The sequence below is a fragment of the Homo sapiens genome, chromosome 20 (assembly GCF_000001405.40).
Source record: "Homo sapiens chromosome 20, GRCh38.p14 Primary Assembly".
NCBI lineage: Eukaryota > Metazoa > Chordata > Mammalia > Primates > Hominidae > Homo > Homo sapiens.
In genome coordinates, this window is record NC_000020.11 from 50,894,667 (window position 1) to 50,916,925 (window position 22,259).

Genomic DNA, 22,259 nt, shown 5'->3' on the forward strand with positions numbered 1-22,259 from the left:
GGTGGATCACCCAAGGTCAGGAGTTCAAGAGCAGCCTGGCCAACATGGTGAAACCCCATCTCAACTAAAAATACAAAAAAATAAGCTGAGCGTGGTGGTGGGCGCCTGTAATCCCAGCTACTTCAGGAGGGTGAGGCAGGAGAATCGCCTGAAGCTGGGAGGTGGAGGTTGCAACGAGCCGAGATCGGCCATTGCACTCCAGCCTGGGCGACAAGAGCGAAACTGTCTCAAAAAAAAGCACTGATTTTAGTATGTTTTCCCCTTTTGTATAGTAACTTTATAAAATAGAAACTCAAAAAAAAAGCTATCTTAAACCAAATATTTTTGTCAGTGTAAATTAAAAAAATGCTAAGTTCTTTCTCAATGTTTAGGGAAAAAAAGTCACATTTTAGCTAAACCAAAGACAAATGACTTGAAGATAAACATTTTGCAGCTAGAAATAACAAGAATAACCTAAATGAAGGAAGTTACTAAAGACTTCAGGTTTACTATACAGTCATGTGTTGCTAAACCACAGGGATGCATTCTGAAAAATGTATCATGGTGTGAAATCCTCAAGTGTGTATTCACACAGACCTAGATGGTAGAACCTACTACACGCCTAGGCTACATGGCATAGCTTATTGCTCTTAGGCTACAAACCTGTACAGCATGTTTCTGTACTGATTACCATAGGCAATGATTAACACAATGGTAAATATTTGTATGTTTAAACATAGCTGAGCACAGAAAAGGTACAGTAAAAATACAATGTAAAAGATAAATGATACCATGAACAAAGCTTACAGGACTAGAAGTTACTCTGGGTGAGTCAATATGAAAGCCTGGGACATTACTGTACACTACTGTAGACTTTATGAACACTTAGGCTACACAAGTTTTACTAAAAAAAAAATTTTGAGACAAAGTCTCACTTTGTTGCTCAGGCTGGAGTGCAGTGGCACAATCGGCTCACTGCAGCCTCAACCTCTTGGGCTCATGCGATCCTCCCACCTCCGCCTCAGTCCTGGGGACTACAGGTGTGTGCCACCACACTAGGGTAAATTTTGTAGAGACAGGGTCTCCCTCTGTTGCCCAGGCTGGCCTTGAACTCCTGGGCTCGAGCAATCCTCCCGCTTTGGCTTCCCAAAGTGCTGGGATTGCAAGCCGCTGTGCCGAGCCCTAAAAAATATTTTTTCTTCAATAATAACCTCAGCTTGCTGTGGTTTATACACTTTTAAATTTTTAACTTTTTGACTCTTTTGTAGTAATACTTAGCTTAAAACACAAACAGATTGGCCAGGCACAGTGGCTCACACCTGTAATCTCAGCACTTTGGGAGGCCCAGGCGGGTGGATCACCTGAGGTCAAGAGCTTGAGACCAGCCTGACCAACATGGTGAAACCCTACCTTTACTGAAAATAAAAAAAATAGCTGCACATGGTGGCAGGCACCTGTAATCCCAGCTACTCGGGAGGCTGAGGCAGGAGAATCACTTGAATCCAGGAGGCAGAGGTTGCAGTGAGCCAAGATCACAGCACAGCACTCTAGCCTGGGCAACACAGCGAGACTCCGTCTCAGAAACAAACAAAAACCCCCAAAACAAACACATTGTACAGCCGTACAAAAATATTTTCTATCTTCATATGCCTATTCTATAAGCTTAAAAAAATTTGTTTTAAAAAAAAACTTTCCCAGCACTTTGGGAGGCCAAGGCAGGTGGATCACAAGGACAGGAGTTCGACACCAGCCTGGCCAACATGGTGAAACCTCATCTCTACTAAAAATACAAAAAATTAACCGGACGTGGTGGCAGGCGCCTCTAATTCCAGCTACTCAGGAGACTGAGGTTGCAGTGAGCTGAGATCGTGCCATTGCACTCCAGCCTGGGCGACAAGAGCAAGACCCCGTCTCAAAAAAAAACCAAAAACTTTAAAAACATTTTTTTTCTTAAAAGCTAAGACACAAACGCATACGTTAGTCTAGGCCTACAGAGAGTCAGAATCAACAGTATCACTATCTTCCACCTTTACATCTTGTCCCACTGGAGGGTCTTCAGGAACAGTAACACACATGGAACTGCCATCTCCCATGGTAACAATGCCTTCTTCTGGATAACTGCAGAAGGACCTGCCTTAGGCTTTTCTTGAGGAGGTCTCACACTTACCAAGAATAAGCCCACGGTGCTTTGTTTCCTTTTTTCATCATAGATTTGATTGTAAGCAGATAATGAACCATGAATATTCTTCTCTATTAATAAAAACCTTTTGGTATTGAGATCCATGTTTTCAAACTTTTTTGTTGTTGTTTGAGATGCAGTTTTTTTGCTCTTGTCACCCAAGCTGGAGTGCAATGGCACAATCTCGGCTCACTGCAACCTGCACTTCCCGGGTTCAAGCGATTCTCCTGCCTCAGCCTCGTGGCTGGGATTACAGGCGCCCCACCACCACGCCCGGCTAATTTTTTTGTATTTTTAGTAGAGACGGGGTTTCACCATGTCGGCCAGGCTGGTCTTGAACTCCTGACCTCAGATGATCCACCAGCCTCGGCCTCCCAAAATGCTGGGATTACAGGCGTGAGCCACCAAGCCCGGCCACGTGTTTTCAGACTTAAGGAGCTTGCTGAGGTCTGCACTGCTAAATCCTTCACTGAATTTTCTTGAGGGTTCTTCTTTTGCTTTTCCTGCAGTTTCCTTTTCTCTTTCCTCTTCACCTATGCGGGAACTTGTTCTAGTTCCCACAGCTCCTCACCAGTCAATTCCTCAGGAATCACCTCTAGGAGCTCCTGTTGTCCTCATCCACACCCCGGTTAAAGTTGTTTGCCATCTCAATCACAGACTTTGTGATTTATGCAAATCCTTTTAAGTCATGGACAAACCTCTTGAGTGTATTCTTCCAGATGCCATTCATACACTCCTTGATGACATCAACCCAAGCCCAAGCAAGATTCTTAATGCAGTCACAGATATTGCAATCCTTCCAGAATTGTATCAGAATCTTCTCAGTGTCTCCCTAAGCTGCGACGACAGGACAAAGGCCTTTCTCAGATAGTACGCCTTAAAAGCTGCTGTAACTCCATCAGTTGGATCAAAGAGGTGGTGTTTGATACTGGGATGAAAAACACCACTTAAAGGAGGCATTTGCTTATCAGCGACAATAAGCAAAAGCTTGAAGGGTATGTTATTCTCTCAATACTACTTCTCCACTTCGCAGGCATATCTATTCAGGAGGGCATCTTGAAAGAGGAGCAGGGTCACCCACGACTTCTTATATCTCCTGCAGTGCACTGGCCAAGTGTGTGTGTATTGATATGCTTGAAGCCCCTAGGGTTCTCAACATGCCAAATCACAAAGGGTTTCAATTTGTGGCCTGCAACATTGCCCCCAAGCAAGACTGTCATCCAGTCCTTAAAAGACTTGAAGCCTGGCATTGCTTTGGTCTACCTCATGGATCAAAGTCCTTTCAGGCATCTGTTTCCAGAATAGAAAGGTTTCATCCATATTGAAAATTTGTTCTGGCAAGTGATTTTCCTCCAGACTCAGCTTATCTAGAGTTTCCCAAAATTCTTCCGCTGCCTTTACATCAGCACTCACAAACTCACCACTTTCCCATTATGTAATGAATAACGATTCTTGAATTGTTTACACCACCCAGAACTAGCAGTCAATTCAACATCACAGCCAGGTCCAGCCTTTTCTTTCAACACCTCAAACACACTTTTTGCTTTGGGATCATCATGGTGCTGAGAGGTACACAGCACCGTGTGCACCTGTGTCTGCTCTTCAATCCAGGTCATCAGAAGCTTGTGTGTGTCTGATAAAGGCCCTTCTTGAATTTTTGTTAGTCTCATTGCCTTCAATGAAGCAGATGCTTTAACAGCTTCTGTCACTTTGTTCTTGTTCTTCAAGATCATAGCTATGGTAAAATGGGACAAGCCTGACTGGCAAGAAATAACCATCACTGATTCTCCACCTTCGTAGTCCTTAATCACTTCTGTTTCCAGGTCAATCACTCAACATGGCCCCTTACTGGCAACATTATGGATTTTGTATGCTTAGGGGCCATGATGAACAAAATACCATGAGATTAAACCATGCACAAGAATGATGCAATCAAGAGACACAGTGAACACAAGCTGTATGAGGCTGCTACCAGTTACCATGAAAAGCTGTTTTAAAAAGTAGGAGTACACTCTAAAATAAAAAGTATATATAGTAAATACATAAACTGGCAATACGGTTTTTAACTGTCATTATCAGGAAGTCATGTGCTGATGTTTTCTGTCTAGTACAGACTGCATATGGGACTATGTTCCCCCAAGATTATAACGGGGCTGAAAAATTTCTGTCACCTAGTATTTACTATACAGTTGACTCTTCAACAACATAGGTTTGAACTGCTTATATGTGGATTTTTTCCAAACAAATGTAGATCAAAGATACAGTATTCTTGGGATGCTCAAACCCTCTTATACAGAGGGCTAGCTTTTGGTATATGCAGGTTCTCCAGGGCCAACTGTGGGACTTAAGTATGCAAGGATTTTGGTAATGAGGTTTTTTTTTTTTTTTTGAGATGAAGTCTTGCTTTTGTCCCCCAGGCTGGAGTGCGATGGCACGATCTCAGCTCACTGCAACCTCCACCTCCCAGGTTCAAGCGATTCTCCTGCCTTCCCCGCTCCCACTTCCAACCTCCAGTAGCTGGGATTACAGGCATCTGCCACCACACCTGGCGAATTTTCGTATTTTTAGTAGAGAGGGGGTTTCACCATGTTGGCCAGGCTGGTCTCGAACTCCTGACCTCAGGCGATCCACCTGCCTCGGCCTCCCAAAGTGCTGGGATTATAGGCATGAGCCCAGCGCCCGGCCGGTAATGAGTTTTTAATCATTATTTGAGTGTACCACTTACTTCTATATTTTTTAAAAAAAAGTTAACTCTAAAACAGCCTCAGCCAGATCCTTCAGGAGGTATCTAGAAGACGACACTGCCATCACAGGAAATGATGGCTCCATGCGTGTTACTGCTCCTGAAAACCTTCCAGTGAGACAAGCTGTGAAGGTGGCAATGGTAATACCATTGATCTTGACCCTGTGTAGGCCTAGGCTAATTATGTCTGTGTCTTAGTTTTTAACAACAGTTTAAAAAGTTAAAAAAAAAAAAAAAGTTTAAGACTAGGAAAAAGCCTGTAAGCATATGAAGACAAAATATTTTTATACAGCTGTACAATTTTTTTTTTTTTTTTTTTTGGAGCGGTAGCAAGATTCATTATGAAGAGTGAAAGGACAAAGCTTCCGCAGTGTGGAAGGGGACCCGGGCAGGTTGCCGTGTTTGTGTTTTAAGCTAAGTGTTATTACAAAAGATTCAGAAGTTAAGAATTTTAAAGTTTTACTTTTTATGTAGCCTAAGTGTGTTTATAAAGTCTACAGTGATGTACAATAATGTCCCTTCATATTCAGTCACCACTCAGAGCAACTTCCAGTCCCGCAAGTGCCCAATATAGGTGTACCAATTTTTCTTTTATATTGCATTTTTACTGTACCTTTTCTATGCTTCACTATGTTTAGAAACACAAATACTTACCATTGTGTTAATCACTCTTATAGTATTCAGTATATAGTATTCTCTTATAGTAACATGCCATACAAGTTTGTAGCCTAGGAGCAACAGGCCATACCATATAGCGTAGGGGTAATAGGAGGCTATACCACCTAGGTCTGTGTAAGTACCCTTTATGATGTTTGTACAACAATGACATCACCTAACAGGGCATTTCTCAGAATGCATCCCATCATTAAGCAATGCACGACGGTATTATACGCTGTAAATAACTGTATGTGCTATACTTCTATGACTGGCAGCACAGGTGTGTTTACATTAGTATCACTACAAACATGAATCATATGTTGCGCTATGATGTCATAAGGTAGCAAGTTTTTCAGCTCAATTATATTCTTATGGGACCACTGTCGTAGATGTAGTTCATCACTGACCAAAATGTCGTTATGTGGTGAATGACTGCGGTAAAATTCAGGGCCCACGATGTTTTAGTGCAATTAGACAATTACAAGAGATAAAGCTATATCTTTTATTCCTTTCCTCATTATGGATAAATTTTCATAGAAAAAAGGCAAATCTCCATTTTTTCCTCTGATTAAAGTACAGTGTAGTATCAGATTCAGCGCTGATCAAAAGAAAGACTGATTTGAAAAGTTGGCTTTCTTCTATAAGCCTTGCTGTTCCTTCTCAACCAAGAACACTTCAAAAGAGCTAATGAAGTAATAGCTGCTTTGATTCAAATCAAGAAGTTAAATAAAAATGTCCTACAGACTGTGAGGAGGGTGAGGTATTTAAAAGCCAATAATACATTATAGAATATACTGATATCAAAGAGCAACTTTCAGAATTATGATTGTTAACACCTATGCAGTCAGTCCTTTGATGAAGGCAGGTGAACTGACATGCTTGGTAAGAGATTATCTTTTCTCCCTAGAAACCTACTTGTTTCAGATACTGGTTTGAACCATGATGAAATACTCTGCTTCTCCTCAAAGCTCAACTCTTCTTTAGTATTCAGCTATGAGGCTTTCAGATTGATAAAACTGAATTAAATAAATGATGTGTCCCACTGGAAAGCATTCTCATTCTAAGACTGCTGGTTAGTAACTTTGCCTGGGGTATTTAAAAAAAAAAAAAAAAAAAAAAAAAAGTCAAATATCTGAGTACTAATTTCCTGAAAAGTATGTTCCGATAGATGAACAGATCATTAATGCAGAATGAGAATCACTCCTAAAATAGGTAATGGTAAAAATTAAATTGACAATTACCTCTCTCTATGCAGAAGGAAATATCACCTATATGACATCATCATCATCTATTGATACTTGCTGGCAGTGCTAATATTGTTTTTAATGCCAATTTGTAAGAAGTTTTATCTCTCTGTCACTGACATCCTACAGAGTCACTTCCCCAGGCCTCCCATAGAAGTTGGGTGCCATCAACATAGGGAAATAAGAAAAGCTTAAATGTAAGGAAGGGTCTTGTCTTTTTCTGTGCAGAAAAAACAAGAATGGCAACACAGATGCAGAAAAATAGAGCCAGAGCACTTTTAGGGGAAATGGTGGGATACAGCAGGCTTCGTAACTTTTAAGTAACAAAATTTTGTTTCTTCTTACACCTCAAGTTTTAGTCCAATGACAAAAAAGGACAAAAAGTTTTTCTTAGTCTTCCCACTGGTCAGGAAAATATGAAATGCAATTTTGACACTTTCGATGTTTGGCACTTGCCCGCAATCACTGCACCGCTATAAAAGGCCTAGAGCTGAAAAGGGAGTATACCAAGCATGCTGCCATCTGAGGAAGTCTCCTGTGCCACTTACCTGGTTTTTCGTAAGTGATGGGTCCCACAGTCCTACATCCTCCCATGTAGTGTTTTTCAAATAAAAGTCATTAGGTTCAAATTGTTTAAAATCCTAGAAAACAGTGAAATAAGTTTACAAAAACATAGTGGTATAAACGCTAACCCAATCTTACATGTAAATCTCACCTCTTAACTAAGATGGGGAGAGGCACAGGAAAACCAACGTCAACAAGGACTTAAACTAGGAGTGATAAGGCTCTTAAATATAAAAAGGCATATGGAAGTTGCAGTCTACATTTTATATCAACCAACCACTTTCCTGATGGTCAGTCAGGTTTCCAAGGAAATTGCTGGAAGTTCTAATTAAGTAAAAAATTCAGCCACACACTAATATCAAAGCACTTTTCATTAGAGTACTGTACTCTAACTCGTCAGTTACAGTACTGGAATGGTGTCTAAAATAGCAATGTTTGCTTACAGCACTGCAAATATGATTTCTGGTTCTGTGCAAAAAAAAGATTTTTTTCGAGGGGAGGGGGCAGGAGATCAGATCAGGAAGAAAACTCAAATTTCAAACCCAAAAAGGCAGAAAGAAAGCTATTCAAAGAAAGTTAAGCAGTATGATGTTAAATTTATACTCTCATGTAAAAATTTAATGGTCCACTTCCCTCCAGACTAGGAAGATTAAAAGTCTTAGGGTAAAATCCCACTTGTTCCTAAAAAGTTCACAGTTCAAGGTGGAAAATGAAGTCTACACATAAATAATCATAGGAGGAACAAATCAAATGCATGACAGAAATGTACTGTGATGTTGGTATTAATTATTTCTATGAAGATGACCCCACAGAGTGCAAAGTGAATGGACTGTTTCATTTGGGCAGATCTACCTGAACTCTGGGGTTGGAGAAGGGCTACTTCCACACTTGGAACAACGTGACTAGAGAAGTCAACTTTTGAGCAGCTTCTGTTTCCATGCCATACTCTTCAAGTATTATTAGTGGAACTCAAATTAAGAAAACCTGTTGTATGAATGAATTTGCTTTTTTACTTCCAATTCCATTCAAACACTTACTGATCACCTATTACGTGCAAAACACTGTGCTAGGTGCTGGGGCTAAATGGATAAACAAGGTAGCTATGTTCCCTAGCCACCTAGAACTTAAAGGTTAGTGGGGGAAACAGCTTCAAACATTTCTTTTCAATCAGGGGCTCTGACCAACAAACCATAAGACCTGGAACAGTGAGATGTTGAAAAGGAGACCACTGCATGGCTATCCCACAGAGCTGTTATAAAGCTCATAGAATAAAACAGCTTGAAAAACAGTTCATAAAGCCCAAACTGTTATACAAGGGGGAAAGTAATAGTCTATGATGGGTCAAAAGGGGCAACAAATGCTCAAATCCTAAGGAAAGAGACAACAAGCACCCACACAAGCACGCCTCAACAATTAGAAGAAGGTCAACCAGAACATTCAGGCGTATCAGAATGAGAACAGGCTTTGAGTCCCACAGACACTGCCACTTTCTCAGCTGCAAGGCTGGGCCTATTTATTTGTTCTTCATCTGTGAAGTGGAGATAAGAACTGCTACACTGCCTCCCGCCTCCATGGTTGTTCTAAGGATTAAATGTATAGACAACTTTACGGCACCTAGTTCAACGCCTGACATGCTTAAGTCCTCAATGGTAGCCTTCTGCTTCAGGATGCAAAAATGAAAAAGCCCATTTTAGGGAGAAAGGCACAAGTTAATGCTATTGAGAATGTTTTCGTGAAGCTACTGCTGTGGCTGAAATTCAGAATCACATCTAAGATTTAGCCATCTTGGCCACTGACACAAAGTAATGGATCAGAAGCTGAGTCATGTTAAAATTTAAAAATGACATGCTACTTACTTCTATATGTTCTTTACAGTATTCCAACCCAATGTCACTAAGTATTTTTTTCACAGTTTTCCGGGCTTTTCTTAAACTGCCAAGATTGTTGACAGGAAGTTGGAACATAGTTTCTATTGGAAAAAAAAATTTAAGTCAAAGTCAAAACACGTACAACTTGTAATATTTACTAATTCCACTGATGATAGGATCATAAAACCTACCCATCTGACAAAAAAGGTGCATAGATATCCTCATCTAGTGTGTACACACACAGACACACACCTGCTTTCATGTGCATATGGCTTGATATATCCATCCATCCATCCTTCCTTCCTTTTCTTAAGACAGAGTCTTACTCTGTCGCGCAGGCTGGAGTGCAGTGCACTCATGGTTCATTGACTGCAGTGCACTCACGATTCACCATAGCCTCAACCTTCTGGGCTCAAGTGATCCTCTCACCTCAGCTTCTCAAGAGGAAGGGACTCCAGGAGTGCGCCACTATGCCCAACTAATTTTTAAAATTTTTTTGTAGAGACTAGGTCTCACTATGTTGCCAAGGCTGCTCACAAACTCCTGGACTCAAGCCATCCTCCTGCCTTGGCACCCCAAAGTGCTGGGATTATAGGCGTGAGCCACTGAGCCGAGCACATATCTACTATATTTTGAATACTTAAAGCAGGCAGGCAAAATAAGTACTCTCTGATTTTCCCAGTTTTTAACAGGACATTTTGACTATGAGTCTAATCTGGCATAATTCTGATAAGACTTAACAACAGTTCAGTAATGAACTTCAAGATGAAAATTAGAGAAATACTAGCAATCAATTATTTTTAAATCAAGTGTTAGTGCTTTTCTCATTTTGATGTTGAACATCTGAAAACAGAAAAATGCTTACCAGTTCATCATCATTACAGTTTTGAGTGCCAGGGTAAAGAGGTTTTTGTTGAATTGGAACTGTCCTGCCTACTGCTACGGTATTCTTTAAAACAAAAACAAAAACAAAAACAAAAACAAAAAAACCTTAAGTTTCTGTATACTCCCCAAACTAAATACAGTAATGATATGTGACTCGACCAATGCATGCCCCCACTCCACCCCTGCCTGCAACGTACCTGGGCAAAGGTACTCAAAAATGTTAACTGTTACAGACTTTAAGGAGGGTACTTTTGAAAAAAATGAAAAGCCTGTATGTGTCTAAGGGAACTCAAAAATTATTTTAATGACCTAATACATTAAATTAGAAATTCATATCAACTTTCCCAAGTTCCTTAAAACAGAAGTTTGTCTTTAATGAGAAAATAAAATCAGTAAAACCTGGGCAGCTGAGAATATGTATGGTTTCTAATGAGATCAGAAATGCTTCCCATAATATGGTAAAAATTTATCAATTTAATAATCCAAATCTAACACAATTTCGCAGGATATAAAGTAGTTCTAAAACCCAAAACAGCAAAAACAAAAGACAAAGCACCAGGAATTAAAATTTAATATATGCAAATCCAGTTTTCTAATTAACAAAGGCTGTTACTCTGTAATACCAATATCATCTGTAAATGGCAAGTCAACTAATCCAAATGTAATAAAATGCTGCCTCATTTATTATTCTAATCCAAAATCAACGTTAACTATAAAAAAATGGAAAATAAAAGGAGAAAGAGTGAAATCTACCAAAATCAAAGAGTAACCCCTAGAAATTTTGAAACTGGGTACGTTACTCTAACTTAGAAGTCTCAAAATATTCTATATGAAGTACCAAAGTCTAATTGGGGCCGAAAATGAAAAGTATTTCAAAAAAACCTTCTAGGCCTTATCATACTCAAGATAGAATTGCTGCTCACTATGAAGCAATGACTATGGTGTCCCCTGCTCTCTCTGCTATGCTAATAATCTGCATATTGTGAAGCCAACTACAGACTTAGAAGTCACTTCTGATATAAATTAAGACCAAATCAATTATTTTTTGTCCAAATTTTATTGCTAAATTGTTTTAAACCATCTTTTGTGGTGGCTTAAAACCAGCAAATTCTTTATCACTTGCTTAATTTAAAACAGTTAGTACACACTGGGCATGGTGCCTCACGCCTGTAATCCCAACACTTTAGGAGGCCGAGGAGGGCAGATCACGAGGTCAAGAGATCGAGACCAACCTGGCCAACATGGTGAAAACCCGACTCTACTAAAAATACAAAAAATTAGCTGGACGTAGTGGCACGTGCCTGTAATCCCAGCTACTCGGGAGGCTGAGGCAGGAGAATCGCTTGAACCCGGGAGGCAGAGGTTGCAGTGAGCCAAGATCGCACCACTGCACTCCAGCATGGCGAGAGCGAGATTCCATCTCAAAAACAGACAAACAAAAAACACATACAGTTACTACAAACCAGGTCTTTTAGAGAGAAGCACATGTTAGAAAAATATTTCAGAAATACAGAAAAGTGTCACAGGCTAATTCTGAAGAAACCAGGTATTAAAATGGATGCCCACAGATACCTAAGACTGGGAAGAGACATCTTGTTTCTCTGTTCATTTCATAAACTCTCTATGGGCCAAAATTCAGTTCTTTGGGAACTTCCTGAGTTAACTCTGCTTCACACTTCATAACAGATGTGTCCAGAAGCCAGCCATTAATGGTTTCCCTGCCTCCTGGATGAGTGGCTCAACAATCTCAGAAAAACAAAGACATAAAGATTTGGAAATGCAGCCACCACTGGGGTCATTAGTCTATAGAAAACATAAAAAAGAATCAAGCGGCAGCTTGGGGGAAAGAAAAACCCATTCTTCTAAGTGCCTACCCACAGCTTAAAAAGTCGGTTTAAGACATTAAGATGAAGCATCTCACTGCCTGGTAGGTATTTTTTTCTGAAAAAGTGAGTATGCCCATAAGGGAACTTAGTTGTAAGAAACTTGTAATTTATAAAAAGCGGTATTTCAGCCACAGAGTTGGTGTTGGGTTTACTTATCTATTTTGAATTTAAAAGGCTTATAAATAAAGCAGTGACACTGCTTACTGGGAAATGCTGTACCAAAAAATGTTATCTTGCTGTAGGCTTGGCAACTAGGAGAAATCTGTATTTTTTTTTTGAGACAGGGTTCCAGTTTTTTTTTTTTGTTTTTTTTTTTGAGACAGTCTCGCTCTGTCACCCAGGCTGGAGTGCAGTGTCACGATCTTGGCTCACTGCAAGCTCCGCCTCCCAGGTTCACACCATACTCCTGCCTCAGCCTCCTGAGTAGCTGGGACTACAGGCGCCACCACCATGCCCAGCTAATTTTTTGTATTTTTAGTAGAGATGGGGTTTCACCGTTTAGCCAGGATGGTCTTGATCTGACCTCGTGATCCGCCCATCTTGTGATCCGCCCATCTCAGCCTCCCAAAGTGCTGGGATTACAGCCACCGCGCCCGGCATTTTTTTTTTTTGAGACGGAGTTTTGCTCTTGTTGCCCAGGCTGGAGTGCAATGGCACAAATCTTGGCTCACTGCAACCTCTGCCTCCCAGGCTCAAGCAATTCTCCTTCCTCAACCTCCTGAGTAGCTGGGACTACAGGCGCGTACCACCACATCGTGCTAATTTTTGTATTTTTAATAGAGACAGGGCTTCACCATGTTGGCCAGGCTGGTCTCAAACTCCTGACCTCAGGTGATCCACCTGCCTCAGCCTCCCAAAGTGCTGGGATTACAGGCGTGCACCACCATGCCTGGCCAGGAATGTATGTTCATGTTAACTCACGTTAACGCCTGGCCAGGGTTCCACTTTTCATCCAGGCTGGAGTGTAGTGGTGTAATCATAGCTCACTGCAGCCTTGACTTCCTGGGCACAAGTGATCTTCCCACCTCAGCCCCACCAGCTGGGACTACAGGTGCACACTACCTAGACGCCTGGCTATATTTTGTGTGTGTGTGTGTGTTTTTTTTTGTAGAGATGGGGTGTTGCCATGTTGCCCAAGCTGGTCCTGAACTCCTGAGCTCAAGTGATCTGCTGGCTTTGGCCTCCCAAAGTGCTGGGATTACAGGTGTGCACCACCATGCCTGGCCAGGAATGTATGTTCACATTAACTCAGAACATTCTACAACTTTCAGTGTAAAGATTATAATGCTCTTCATATGCGTATTTCTGACATTCCTAATAACCTTGGAAATTCCATAATCTCCCTTTCTCCAGAACAAAGTGTGCCCTCCATGCATTTGTTCATGGAGATCATTTCTCTAAGATTTTCTCCATTTGCAGCTGAAGTAACAGTCATATACACTGGCACCTTCAAAAGCATTTGCAAAGATTTTTCTGTTTTTTTTTTTTTTTTTTTTGCTTTAAATACTTTTCTCAGTAGATAAAACAAGCACACAATTCAGAAATATAAGCAAAGAAGGCTTCCTTCTCACTCTTATCCCTCCAGCCACGCAGCTCCCCATCCCAGAAGGGGCCACTGTTACCCTTTCTTGTGAGTGTTTTGAACTATAACAAGCCAAACAATTCTTTGGAAAAAAGTTTCAACCAAACTCTATCAGTCAATCATTATGGGTGATAAGAAAAAGAAGAGAAGGACCCTATGTTTCTTTGCAGCTACTGCTTGCTGTTAAGAAACATAAGTTCAAATCAATAGCTGGCTCCAGGGTTCATTAATGTTATCTAGGCTGGGCGCGGTGGCTCATGCCTGTAATCCCAGCACTTTGGGAGGCCAAGGCGGGCGAGTCACGAGGTCAGGAGATCGAGACCATCCTGGCTAACATGGTGAAACCCCGTCTCTACTAAAAATACAAAAAATTAGCTAGGCGTGGTGGTGGGCACCTGTAGTCCCAGCTACTTGGGAGGCTGAGATAGGAGAATGGTGTGAACCCAGGAGGCAGAGCTTGCAGTGAGCTGAGATCGAGCCACTGCACTCCAGCCTGGGCGACAGAGTGAGACTCTGTCTGCAAAAAAAGAAAAAAAAAGTTATCTATTTGATTCTCCTTTATAAATGTGGACAAGGGATCCATACTTAAGTAACTGAGGGGTGGGAACAGAATAGATAAGAAATTGTCTCTGCCTGAAATTCAAGGCCCTTTCCTCACTTTCGAATGCAAAGAGAGCTAAAAACTAAAATACAGGTAATTATTACTCTTAGGGAGAAAGAAACCTTAACACTAATGCCAAAAATTGTCCCAGAGATGGGTTTTGACATGCAGAAGGATAGCTAATCCCTTCTCTTTTGCCTCATTAGGATGGCCATTAAAAAAAAAAAAAAAATTTGCCAGCCATGGTGGCTCACGCCTATAATCCCAGCACTTTGGGAGGCCGAGGCGGGCGGAACACCTGAGGTCAGGAGAGTAGCCTGACCAACATGGAGAAACCCCGTCTCTGCTAAAAATACAAAATTAGCTGGGCATGGTGGCACATGTCTGTAATCCTACTACTAGGAAGGCTGAGGCAGGAGAATCGCTTGAACTCCAGAGGCGGAGGTTGTGGTGAGCCGAAATTGCACCACTGCACTCCAGCCTGTGGGCGACAAGAGTAAAACTGTCTCAAAAAAAAAAAAAAAAAAAAAAAAAAAAAAGAAATCAGATGAGCATCATTATTCCAACACCAAGGAGAACTAGCTCCCTTCAGCCGAACCTTTCAGCTCATGACATAAAAAAAGAAAAATATCCAATTTAACAAACCTATATATTGTTCATCTGTTAGACAATCATTTTCAGAGCACTTGCACTTAGCCACTCAACTGTGCTAGGAATAGAGAGATGAGTAAGACATGGTTCTTCTTCCCCTTCAACAGTCCATTTCTTCCAGCTTAGAATACACATAGCCAGCCCTCAATCAGTAGGGTTTAGACACCTGTTTTTGCCTGCCCAGCCTCCTCTTGGAAACGCCTCTGCCACGATTGATGGAAGACAGAAAGTCACTTTTCCAGCAGAGCAGAGTACACATGACTCAGTTTGACTAGTTAAGAATATTTCATCTATGTAAGATAATGACCAGTAGAGTTGGACATGTCCCCCGAACAGGGATGACGTGACGCTGAAAAGGAGAGTTGAGACCTGCCATCACATGAAGGAAGCAAAGGGAACAATTCCTATTGATATTGTTTAAGGTCCTCAATCCAGCTGTGCCCGAAGAACAGCACTTCCCTATGCCAGCCTTTTCCAATATATAAACACACACATTATCGTTTCTGCCTAAGCTAAGTTCTTGTCACCCACAACCAAAAGTCTTGACAGACCCACTGGGCAGGCGGACACAGAAGAGAAAGTGAATAAATAAGAGGGAAGATAGGGTATTTATGCAAAATAATTACACTTGTGAACTGAGTCTAGTAGAAAGAACAGGAGTTTGAAAGATGAAAGTTACTCTAAAAAATGCTTTGACTCTGATTTCATGAAGTAAAAAAACAAAAAACACTATATGAGAAGAGTTAAACACCCTAAATTCTAGAATTCAGAGAAAGCTCAATGACCTATTAATAACAGAATTAACATTTGCAAGTATTTTATTTACGACTGAAAGTAACTAGGTGTGGGTGCAATGTCTCACACCCATAATCCCAGCATGTTAGAGGGCCGAGTTCAAGACCAGACTGAGCAACACAGCAAGACCTATGTTTCTATAAGAAAGCATGGGTGTGGACCTGTGGTCCTAGATATACAGGCGGCTGAGGTGGGAGGATCACTTGAGCCCAGGAGTTCAAGACTGCAGTGGGCAATGATCGTGCCACTGCACTCCAGCCTGGGTGACAGAGTAAGGCCCTGCCTCTAAATAAATAGAGAGTAACTAGCTTTTTGGTAAGCACATGCCATCTGATGAACTACATGTAAACATTCAATTATTATTATTTTTGAGAAAGGGTCTCACTCTGTGTTACCCAGGCTGGAGTGCAGTGGTATGATCACAGCTCACTGCAGCCTCAATTCTCCAGGCTCAAGCAATCCTTCTGCCTCAGCCTCGCAAGTAGATGAGACTAGAGGTATGCGCCACCACATTCAGCTAATTTTTTAAAAAAATTTAATAGGGGTCCTCCCTATGCTGCCCAGGCTGGTCTCCAACTCTTGAGCTCAAGTGATCTTCCCACCTCGGCCCCGCAAAGTGTTGGGATTACAGGTATGGGCCACCGTGCCCAGCCAACGTTCAATTCTGGAGACTAACACTGTTGAGTGAACTAGCCATACTCATTCCTATTAGTCTTTGCAAATTATACCCACATCTACTGATTAGGGCCCAAACATTAACGTTTTACTAATCCAGGCCCATATCCTATTCATGTGCTTTCTTACAAAGCAAGAGTCAGACAGCTGGAATGAAAATCTAAGATTCATCTAGGCCCTAGGCTACAGATAAATTAAAACCATATGCATGATATTTGTATCTGTGCAGAAACTTTTTCAGTTTAAGTCCCATCTATTTTTGGTTTTGTTGCTTGTGCTTTTGAGGTCTTAGTCATGAATTCTTTGCCTAGACCAATGTCCATGAGAGTTTCCCCCAGGTTTCCCTAGTTTCAGGTCTCACTTTGAGTCTTTTTTCTATCTTGAGTTGATTTCCGCATACGGTGAGAGATAGGGGTCTAGTTTCATTCTTCTGCACTATGGCAATCCAATTTTCCTACCAACACTAACTGAAAAAGATGTCCTTGTACATTATTTGGGTGATGGATACACTAAAACCCAGATTTCTTTTCTTTTCTTTTTTTTTTTTTTGAGACAGTTTCACTCTTGTTGCCCAGGCTGGAGTGCAATGGCATCACCCAACAGATGACAGTCCCAGTTTAGCAGGCTCAAGGTAAAGTCTGCAGGATCTGGCACACCAAGAATTAGTGGAGCTTGTCTATGGTAGTTCTGCAGAGCTACCACATCAAGGATGGCACCATATAGTCTGTATTTTTACGGGCAGAAAAAAAGCAGAAAAGCATTTACTAGTATCATCTGAAAGAAAGACAAAACAAACAAAAAGATAAGCCTGTTTTAGATAAGCAAAAGACAACCCAGCTACCTCTGAACAGGCACAGATAAGCCAGAAGAAAAAGCTAGCCTCTAAGTCCAACTTGTCCAGATTACATTTTAAACTACTCCAAGTGAGGATCTAGTGTGTCATAGTGTGTCCTACTTTCCTTCAACTGCAGGTGTAAACTTTGCTACTTTATAATGTTCGGGAACCAAAACCTGAACATAACCCAAAGTGATGACTAATGTATCAGTTACACTAGTGAATGCAAAACTTTCATTTCCACTAAGAAAAGCATATCTAATATTGCACTGAGAGCTACACAAGGATCCTTACTTCTTCCTGGTTAACACCTAAACATAAGCTGCACTTAGCCTAAACTAGTGATTTTCAAACCTTATTTTTTTTGAGACGGAGTCTCCCTCTGTTACCCAGTGGCATAATCTCAGCTCACTGCAACCTCTGCCTCCCAGGTTCCAGCGATTCTCCCACCTCAGCCTCTCGAGTAGCTGGGATTACAGGCACGCGCCACCAGGCTGGGCTAATTTTTTTTATATTTTTAGCAGAGATGGGGTTTCAGCATGTTGGCCAGGCTGGTCTCGAACTCCTGACCTCAAGTGATCTGCCTGTCTTGGCCTCCCAAAGTGCTGGGATTACAGGTGTGAGCCACTGCGCCTAGCTTCAAACTTTTTATTTTTTAAAAGCTGTGAAACCCGTTTCCAAAGGAATCTTAGGTGAAATATAAAAAAGATAAAAACTAGAGGTGCTCAGGTTGAAAGAAAAAAAGGTTCCCTGCCCCCAAGTACCTCCACGAAATAGTTACTCATCTAAACTAAGCCCATGACGCAAATTTATGCAAAAGTGGCAGGTTACTGAAATGTAGAATCTGGGCCTAGTGGGCAATCAAACCAAAGCATGAAGTTTGATGGCTATAGCAGAATTCTGATAGTTTACTGAAAATCTTCACCAATTATTATTAGTCTGATCAAAGTATGAAGTGATAGGGAATCCACAGTAAACCTAAAGGATCAGAAAATAAAGTTCACACTGTGATTTTTAAAAAAACATTTCTACCCTAAAGTTGTAAAGAAAAACACAGTCTCTCTGGGATTATCTTTTACCTGGGGTTGGGAGAAGAGAAGAGTGTGGAATCAAGGGCTAGGAATGACGCTATTACTAGTGAAGAAAACGGCAGCTGTCAGGATGGGCGCCATGGCTCATGTCTGTAATCCCAGCAGTTTGGGAGGCCAAGGAGGGTGATCACTTGAGGCCAGGAATTCACGACCAGCCTGGCCAACATGGCGAAACCCCATCTCTACTAAAAATACAATAAAATTAGCTGGGCATGGTGGCACATACCTGTAATCCCAGCTATTTGGGAGGCTGAGGCCTGAGAATCGTTTGAACCTAGGAGGTGGGGATTGCAGTGAGCAGAGATCACGCCACTGCACTCCAACCTGGGCAAGAGTGAGACTCTGTCTCAAAAAAAAAAAAAAAAAAAAAAAAAAAAAAAAAAAAAAGGTATCTGTATTTTCTAAGTTAATAAAAATTAGGAAGACAATCAGGCTACTACAATATAAACAATTTCATTTTTTGATAACATCAACCCAAGTTACTATGTAAGAATTTCAGATCCTTGATATTTAAATTATTCCAATTGATGCTGATGCAAGAATTTTTATATATCTCTTATAACCCCCACTGGGGTTTAAGAGTAAGATTTTTGAAGTTTCCTTAAACCAATGATCTAACTAAAAAATGTTAAGTTATGCTGGCAATTTTCTAAGAGGGACAAGCATTTGACTCTCATGAACAGAATCAAAGCATCAGTTAACTGCTACCTGTGACGATAATTTTATTTATTTAAAGAACAGATTTTGTTATGTCTCTGTGGAAACATTTAGTACCTGTTAAGATAAAAACTAATCAGAAAGAAAACATCAATCCTGGGAAAGCAAAACAGACGGGTGTGTGTCTAAACTTATGGTCTGCAACTTGGCCTACAGAGGGAAGCTGGAGGAGGTGAAGGAGAGGATTCTGGCCAATAAACCCCTGGCTATGAGAACTGACCAGGACAGAAGTGCATTGCATTGGGCATGCTCAGCCATACATACATAAATTATTGAATTTTTGTTTCAACTTGGAGTGCCAGTGAATGATAAAGACTATGCGAGATTGGTCTCCTCTTCAGACTGCTGTTTGTGCTGGCCAGAATGAGACTGTAAAAGCCCTTCTGGGAAAAGGTGCTCAAGTGAATGCTGTCAATCAAAATGGCTCTACTCCCCTACATCATGCAGCTTCCAAAAACAGGCATGAGATTGCTCTCATGTTACTAGAAGGTGGGGCTAATCCAGATGGTAAGGATCATTATGAGGCTACAGCAAAGCACCAGGCCACAGCCAAGGGTAACTTCAAGATGATTCATATCCTTCTGTACTACAAAGCATCCACAATCATCCAAGACACTGAGGGTAACACTCCTCCACACTTAGTCTGTGATAAGAGTGGAAGAAGCAAAACTGCTGGTGTCCCAAGGAGCAATATTTACATAGAGAATAAAGAAGAAAAGAAACCCCACAAGTGGCCAAAGGTGCCCTGGGTTTAGTACTCAAGAGAATGGTAGAAGGTTAAACAGCTTGGATTTCTTCTTACTTTCTATGTTGTGATGCTGTCCCCAGTGTCCTGGAAACTAACATACTTGGGCACAGGACATCATCTACAAATGTTTTCTCACCTTCAAAGTCTTATAAACATGTTGACTATTGTTCCTGCTGAGGTTCTTATTCTAAACTTACGGCTTGCTTTCTGGGCACTGAGTAACTGCTGACTGTTCTACTGTTGTCACATATTCTTGTATACTGAATTTCGGCTAATTCTGAGTAAGTGATTCCGTGGCTGTTGTTAATCTTCAGCAACCTCCGAGCATGCACCTTGTATCAGTCTCTGAAATAGAATAGCTCCAATAGCAACAGGCTAGTCGTTCTGCTAGATGGTTCTAGGTGGACTCCGTGATGTTCCTCCATACAGTTAAACATCCTAACTTGTTTCTCAAGCTCACTCAGGCCTATGCCAGACAGTTGTTTTTTTCCCCAACCATGAGATTTTATTTTTGTGATAGGAGGAATATTTACGTATTTCAGTGGACCAAATTTTAAGTTGGGGGTTGTGCTAGAAAATAATGAAAAACAACTTCCCATGTACACGTGTATTTTTTTTTTGATGAGCTATTTGCCAAGATAAAACGTATGGTTTTTTAAAAAGGAAGTTTTAAAGTACCTATATCGAGTCAGCTTACATTGAAAAAATGTCAAGCTTGTTAAAATGATTATGTAACAAAATGTATTCTGATTTGTATTTCAGAAACTAAAAAATAAAATGTTGAAAGAAAAAAACATCATTCTTGTATTTGTGCATTTTCTTTCCTTCCTGCCTTTACCTCAGCAACATATTTAATACCTGTCTATATCACTCATTGAGTCAAAAACTGTGGTCACGGTAAAACCCTATTTCTTCTTATAGCCAATAAGCCCTTATTCTTCCTATTTTAGGATTTGCATCTGAAGTAGTGAACATACTTTATTTGCTTTACATGTGCCATTAAGCCCTACATTTAAATCAAACCAGTTGCAAAAAGGTTTATATATTTGCATTTTAAAAAATTAATCTTACACAGCTTTAAGATTGAGAGCCTACAGCCAGACTGGAAACAATCACCCCACTCAATCTTTTTCTAAAATACACCGCCCTGAACAGAGGTAGCTGATTTCCATTCTCCTATAAGCTTGGGCAAAAGAGCTTCCAGATGCCGGAAACTCTTCATAGAAAGGCAGCTCTGATGCCTCCTCCTTTTCCTCCCCTCCCTCCCCAATCCACAAAACACGTAATTCTGACTATCCAGGGGCAGAATGTTCTTCTGGATTAGCAGATAAAACTGTGCAGCAAGACAGAGGTAAGAAAATAAAGTTTAGTATCCTCTTTCCTTAAGTTTACTAGAAAATGTACAGTAGTACTGAGGCTAAAAAGGGGGGTGAGGGAATTAGAGAACCAGGAAGATAAGAAAGAAAACTACTTTGCAAATGATGACACACGTATGTACTGAAAGCTAAATCTGAATAATGAACATCAATTATATTGCCTAGGATAATCATATTATAACACTCTTAATAAAGATAAGCAGGCAGGAAATGTAACCAGTTTCTGTATTCTTCTATTCTTACTAACTTCATTGGACTTTTACTATTCTCCCAGTTTGATAATAAAAGATAACCAAATACAAAACTGCCTCCAAAAATAAACACTGATTTTCTTCAAGTTTTTAACTGTTATCAATTATTTATATTTTTTATAACTATTTCTTTAGTTAGGAGTGTAAATTTATGCAAGGCGAAAGATGGTATTTATCTAAATATAGCATTCTTTACAAAAACGTTTAGTCAAAGTAATATTTTTTGTCACCTTCCATCAACATGTGTGAATCCTTTCTACAAAAAAAAAGATGCTCTGAAAGATTGTTGCCTGATCACCTCAAGTAAGAGGGCGCACAAAATCCCATCAGGCAGCTCATTCCACACTGGACAGCTTCTGTTCACAAGTTTATGCTTTACAACGCTGTGTAACCTGCCCATAGCTCTCAGGCTATAAATTCCCTAGTCACATGACAGCCTTTCAAAACTTTAAGACACGCCCCTCTTCTCCCAGTTAACCAGGATCAGTTCTTCTCACCATTCCTTCCATGATCTCATAGGCCACTCTCCAAAGGATAAGCTCCAGCTTGTCAGTCTCCCTAGTTCCCTGGATAAACTGTTATTCGGATGTGACATATTCAGGAGATGGTCGAGTGAGACAACAATACTCTAATTCTGGACATTATTTTTCAATTAATGCTCCTGAAAAATACATTTGTGTCAGTGGCATCCACTTCATACATATGACATAAAAAATATTTTTAAAAATATGCAGTGCCTTTTCAGAATTAGCTTGTTCAGCTGATGAGGAAAAAGATAGTTTGGATGGAATCTAAGTAACAATCACCAGTCTTCAGGGTCTCCTCAACTGCAGGAACACAAGCATTCTGTTTCTGAAATGAGGGGGAAAAACAAAACAAAACCAAAAACTAAAAAACAAGTGTCCAGTGCAGGCCTTAGGAAAGTCAAAAGA

At 40.6% G+C, this 22,259-nt stretch overlaps 1 protein-coding gene and 1 pseudogene across 12 annotated transcripts in view, besides 1 other annotated feature; one reads left to right on the forward strand and one right to left on the reverse strand.

The window, feature by feature from the left end:
• ADNP (activity dependent neuroprotector homeobox) overlaps positions 1-22,259 on the reverse strand; it is a 42,520-nt gene that overhangs the window by 5,749 nt on the left and 14,512 nt on the right. For 6 of the 12 annotated variants that reach the window (NM_181442.4, NM_015339.5, NM_001439000.1 and 3 more), the window contains 2 exons: positions 9,223-9,335; positions 7,351-7,443 (listed from right to left, as the gene is read on the reverse strand). In NM_181442.4, the coding sequence (NP_852107.1) occupies positions 7,351-7,443; positions 9,223-9,330 (201 nt within the window). In that variant the 5' untranslated portion in view covers positions 9,331-9,335. Of the gene's footprint in view, positions 1-7,350; positions 7,444-9,222; positions 9,336-10,099; positions 10,184-14,833; positions 15,126-22,259 lie in introns of those variants that run through there. The other 6 variants (NM_001347511.2, NM_001282531.3, XM_047440077.1 and 3 more) reach the window with 3 other exon arrangements.
• Positions 17,312-17,471: a silencer, noted in NCBI's record as "silent region_13031". NCBI's record gives its function as "represses an Ori minimal core promoter by ATAC-STARR-seq in GM12878 lymphoblastoid cells {active_cell/tissue: GM12878}" and the evidence as "EXISTENCE:reporter gene assay evidence [ECO:0000049][PMID:35858748]".
• On the forward strand, positions 19,049-19,929 carry PSMD10P1 (proteasome 26S subunit, non-ATPase, 10 pseudogene 1; annotated as a pseudogene).